Genomic DNA, 6,364 nt, shown 5'->3' with positions numbered 1-6,364 from the left:
TCCTGGGTTCAAGCAATTCTCCTGTTTTAGCCTCTGGAGTAGTGCTGGGACTACAGGTGCATGCCACCACAGCCGGCTAATTTTTGTATTTTTAGTAGAGATGGTGTTTCACCATATTGGCCAGGCTGGTCTCAAACTCCTGACCTCAGGCGATCCACCCACTTCGGCCTCCCAAAGTGCTGGGATGACAGGCATGAGTCACCATGCCAGGCATCCTTGTAGTTTTGATTTGCATTTCTCTGATGATCCATGATGTTGAGCACCTTTTCATATGCCTGTTTGCCATTCGTATGTCTTCTTTTGAGAAATGTCTCTTCACATCTTTTGCCCATTTTTTGATCAGATTATTAGATTATTTCCTGTAGCGTTGTTTAAGCTCTTTGTATATTCTGCTTATTAATCCCTTGTCAGATGGGTAGTTTGCAAATATTTTCTCCCATTCTGTGGGTTTTTCCCTTCACTTCATTGATTGTTTCCTTGCTGTGCAGAAGTTTTTAATTTGATGGACAATTCTCATTTGTCCATTCTTGCTTTGTTTGCTTGTGCTTTCGGGGTATTGCTCAAGAAATTTTTGCTCAGATCAATGTCCTGGAGATTTTCCCCAATGTTTTCTTGTAGTAGTTTCATAGTTTAAGGTCTTAGATTTAAATGTTTAATCAATTTTGATTTGATTTTTGTATATAGTGAGTGACAGGGGTCTAGTTTCATTCTTTTGCATATGGATATTCAGTTTTCCCAGCACCATTTATTGAAGAGACTGTCTTTTCCCCAGTGTATGTTCTTGTCACCTTTGTTAAAAATGAGTTCACTGTAGCTGTGTGGATTTGTTTCTGGGTTTTATATTCTTTTCCCTTGATCTATGTGTCAGTTTTTATGCCAGTAGCATGTTGTTTGGGTGACTATGGCTCTGTAGTATAATTTGAAGTCAGGTCATGTGATTTCTTCAGTTTTGTTCTTTTTGCTTAGGATAGCTTTGGCTATTATGGATCTTTTGTGGTTACACGTAAATTTAATGCTAGGTTTTTCTATTTCTGTGAAGAATGTCATTGGTATTTTGATAAGGACTGCATTGAATCTGTAGATTGCTTTGGGTAGTATGGATGTTTTAGCAATATTGATACTTCCAATTCACAAACATGGAATATTTTTCCATTTTTTTGTATCCTCTTCAATTTCTCTCATCAGTATTCTATAGTTTTCATTATAGAGACGTTTCACTTCTTTGGTTAAGTTAATTCCTAGGTATATAATTTTATGTGTGGCTATTGTAAATGGGATTATTTTTTAAAATTTCCTTTTCACATTGTTCACTATTGGCGTATAGAAATGCTACTAATTTTTGTATGTTGATTTTGTATCCTGCAACTTTAGTGGATTTGTTTATCAGTTCTGGTAGTTTTCTTGTGGAGTCTTTAGGTTTTTCCAAATATAAGACCATATCATTTACAAACAAGGATGATTTGACTTCCTCATTTCCAGTTTGGTTGCCCTTTATATCCTTCTCTTGTCTGACTGCTCTAGCTAGGACTTCTAGTACTGTGTTGAGTAATAATGGTGACAGTGGACATCCTTGCTGTGTTCTAGATCTTAGAGGAAAGGCTTTCAGTTTTCCTGCATTCAGTATGATACTAGCTGTGGGTCTGTCACATACGGCTTTTATTATGTTGAGTTATGTTCTGTTAAACCTCATTTTTTGAATTTTTATCATAAAGAGGTATTGAATTTTATCAAATGCTTTTTCAGCATCAATTGAAATGATCAAATGGTTCTTATCCTTCATTCTATTGATATGATGTATCACACTGATTGATTTATGTATGTTGAACCATACTTGCATCCCAGAGATAAATCCCATTTGGTCATGATAAAGGATTTTTCTAATGCATTGTTGAATTTGATTTGCTAGTATTTTGTTGAGGATTTTTGCATCAATATTCATTAGAGATATGGGCCTGTAGTTTTCTTTTTCTGATGTGTCTTTGTCTGGTTTTGGTATGAAGGTAATACTGGCCTCATAGAATAAGTTTGGAAGTATTCCGTCCTCTATTTTTTGGAATAGTTTGAGTAAGATTGATATTATTTCTTTAACTGTTTGGTAGAATTCAGCAGTGAAGCCATCAGATCCTGGGGTTGTCTTTACTGGGATACTTTTTGTTATGGCTTTGATGTCATTACTTATTATTGATCTGTGCAGGTTTTGGATTTCTTCCTGATTTTGTCTTGGTAAGTTGTATGTTTACATGAATTTGTCCATTTATTCTAGATTTTCCAACTTATTGGTATATGGTTGCTCATAGTGGCCACTAATGATCCTTTGAATTTCTGCAGTATCGGTTGTAATGTCTCCTTTTTCATTTCCGATTTTATTTACTTGGATCTTGTCTTATTTTTTCTTAGTCTGGCTAAAGGTTTGTCAATTTCATTTAACTTTTCAAAAAAATCAACTTTTTGTTTGATTAATCTTTTATATTTTTTCATTTCAGTTTCATTTATTTCTGCTATGATATTTATTATTTCTTTTCTTCTAATCTTGGGTTTGGTTTGCTCTTGGTTTTTTTATTCTTTAAGATGCATCATTAGATTGCTTATTAGAAGTTTTTCCTCTTTTTTGATGGAAACATTTACAGCTATAAACTTTTCTCTTAGTGTTGTTTTTGCTGTATTCCATAGGTTTTGGTATGTTGTGGTTCCATTATCATTTATTTCAATACATTTTTCAATTTCCTTCTTAATTTCTTCACTGACTCACTGGCCATTCAGGGGCATGTTTAATTTCCATGCATTTGTGTAGTTTCCAAAATTCCTCTTGTTATTAATTTTTAGTTTTATTCCATTGTGGTCAGAGAAGATGCTTGATATTATTTCAATTTTTCTGAATGTTCTAAGACTCGTTTTGTGACCTAACATATGGTCTATTGAGAATGATCCATGTGTTGAGGAAAATAATGTGTATTATGCAGCTCTTGGATAAAATGTTCTGTAAATATCTATTAGATCCATTTGGTCTATAGTGCAAATTAAGTCTGATGTTTATTTGTTGATTTTCTCTCTGGATAATCTGCCCAATGCTGAGGGTCGGGTGTTGAAGTCTCCAGCTATTATTGTATTGGGCTTATCTCTCTCTTTAGCTCATATTATACTTCCTTTATATATCTGATGCTCCTGTGTTAGGTGCATATATATTTAAAATGGTTAAATCCTCTTGCTAAATTGATCCCTTTATCTTACTGGTGTCTCAGTATGTCTCATGCTCCCCCAGTCCACTGTCTCTGGGTCTGGTTCAGCACCAGGCCTCACCTAAGAATTGCAGTCCTTATGGCATAGACTGCCTTTCAAGTTTACTTGGAGGCACAGAGTAGTGTAGCCCTCAGTAGTGAGGTTTGCAGGGACTCACGTTTGGACTGCTGGGGTAGGCAATTCCCCTCTGGCTAGGGCTGGTTTAAATGCTCCTTCTGTGGGTGGGTGTCAGCTGTGTTTGGTCTGGTTTTCCTTTCTGTTCTAACAGAATAGTCCCAAGTTCAGTGCCTCACAGTTTTTATGTTCTTCCTCCCCAAGGGCCTGGAGAGGCTGTCTGTACCAAGCCACTGCCGGGGTGGAGGAGGAGTGGTGATGGCAATTCAGGACTGTTTTTTCTCTCTTCAGTGTCTATCTCAGTGATATGAAGTTAAAACCAGGTACTATGAGTGCTCACCTGATTTTTGGTCCTTAGGAAGGTGTTTTTTTCTGTGTAAATAGTTGTTAAATTGGTGTCCGTGCAGGGGTGATGATTGGTGGAGCTTTCTATTCTGCTATCTTGCTCTGCCCCTCCATCTCTGCTATTGATGTCTAATTTAATTTTCTTTTGGTCGGAGAACATGCTTTTTATTGTTTGAACCCTTTAAAATTTATTGAGATTTGCTTTATGACCCAGAATATGGCCTATCTTGGTAAATATTCTATGTGCACTTGAAAAGAATATTTTTATGATGTTGGTTGAAGTGCTATATAAATGTCAGTAAGATCAAGTTGGTTAATGGTGTTTTTCAAGTCTTCTATATCATTACTGATTTTCTGTCTACTTGTATCAATTATTAAGAGACTGATGTTGAAATCTTTGTGATATGGTTTTGTCTGTGTTCCCACCAAATCTTATGTCGAATTGTAATCACCAGTGTTGGAGGTGGGGCCTGGTGGAAGGTGATTGGATCATGGGGGCAGTTTCTCATGAACAGTTTAACACTACCTTGATGCTGTTCTTGGGATAGTGAATGAATTCTTATGACGTCTGATTGTTTAAAGGTGTGTAGTACCTACCCCCAACCTTTCTATTGCTCCTTCTCCTGCCATGTGAGACATTTGTTCCCCTTTGCCTTCTACTGTAACTGGAAGCTTCCTGAGGCCTCTCCAGAAGCAGAAGCTGCTATGCTTCCTGTACAGCCTGCAGAACCATGAGCCAATTGAAGCTCTTTTTTAAAAAAATAAATTACCCAGTCTCAGGTATACCTTTTTTTTTTTTTTTTTTTTTTTCTGTTTTTTTGAGATGGAGTCTTACTCTGTCATCCAGGCTGGAGCGCAGTGGTATGATCTCGGCGCACTGCAACCTCTGCCTCCTGGGTTCAAACGATTCCTGTGCTTCAGCCTCCTGAGTAGCTGGGATTACAGGCACGTGCCACCACACCCAGCTAATTTTTGCATTTTTTTTTTAGTAGAGATGGAGTTTGGCCATGTTGCCCAGGCTGGTCTTGAACTCATGGCCTCAAGTTATTTGCCTGCCTTGGCCTCCCAAAGTGCTGGGATTACAGGTGTGAGCCACTGTGCCCAGCCTTCAGGTATTTCTTTATAGCAGTGCAAGAATGGACTAATACACTTTGACTACAATTTTTTAAATTTATCCTTGTCATTTTATAAGTTTTCACCTCATGTATTTTGAAGCTTTGTTTTTACTTAGGACCCCTATATTATCACCTTCACTCTTTGTAATATTTGTTTCTCTGAAGCCTGTTTGTTCAATTCTGATGTAGGCAAGTTAGTTTTATTTTTATTGGTGTTAGCATAACATGTCTTTTTCTATGCTTTTACTTTTAAAACTGTTTGTGACTTTACATTGAATTTGAATGTCTATTGACAGGTTATAATTGGGTTTTTCTTTTTCAATCTAATCTGACCATCTCTGTCTCTCATTTATGTTTAATATAGTTATCTATTTTGGATTTAAATCTACCATCTTGATATTTGTCTCATATCCTCTTTCTTTCTTTTTTCTGTGTTTCCCTCTCTTCTTTTGGAAACATTATTTTCTATAATTTCATTTCACTCCACTCTTGGTTTAATCTCATGTTTTTTTTTTTTAGTTGCTCTAGAATTTACAATTTAATCCTTAATTTAAAACAACCTTCCAATATTATCATACTTCTCATAAAAACCTTACAACAATATTTTTGTCTACCTCCTTTTATCCCTTGTGCTATTGTTGACATATATTTTGTTTCTGTTTACATAAATCCCACATGCGTTGACATTATTTTTGCTTTAAACAAATATCTTTAAGTATGCTAAATGTAAAAAAATGGCTGTTTTACTTACCCACATATTTCCCATTTTTATGGTTCATTAATCTCTAGTGTATATTCAGATTCTCAGCTTGCCATCAGATATCATTTTCCTTCTGCCTAAAGAACTTACTTTTATATTTCTTGAGGTACATATCTTCCAGAGATAAGTTGTCCTAGAATTTTTTGTCTGATTTTATTTAATCTTTATTTTTGGATGACATTTTTGCTGGCCAAACAATTACACATTGGCAGAGTATTTCTTTTAATACTCTAAAGATGTTGCTACACTGTCTTCTTACTTGCATAGATTCTGGTGATAGGTCTGTTGTGATTCTTATCTTTGATCTTTCGAACGCAATATGTCTTCTTTTCCTAGAGCCACTTTAAAAATTTTCTCTTAATCACTGGTTAGTTAGCATGGTTGTCTTCAGATTTATTCTGCATAGCATTTGTTGAACTTCTTGGATTTCTGGATATATATTTATTACCAAATTTGTGTTATGCCATTCTTACATCACTATAAAGAAATACCTGGCCGGGCGCGGTGGCTCACGCCTGTAATCCCAGCACTTTGGGAGGCCGAGGCGGGTGGATCATGAGGTCAGGAGATCAAGACCATCCTGGCTAACAAGGTGAAACCCCGTCTCTACTAAAAATACAAAAAATTAGCCGGGCACGGTGGCGGGCGCCTGTAGTCCCAGCTACTCGGGAGGCTGAGGCAGGAGAATGGCGTGAACCCGGGAAGCGGAGCTTGCAGTGAGCCGAGATTGCGCCACTGCAGTCCGCAGTCCGGCCTGGGCGACAGAGCGAGACTCCGTCTCAAAAAAAAAAAA

Source organism: Homo sapiens, chromosome 10, assembly GCF_000001405.40.
Source record: "Homo sapiens chromosome 10, GRCh38.p14 Primary Assembly".
NCBI classification, from domain to species: domain Eukaryota; kingdom Metazoa; phylum Chordata; class Mammalia; order Primates; family Hominidae; genus Homo; species Homo sapiens.
This window is presented reverse-complemented; position numbering follows the sequence as displayed.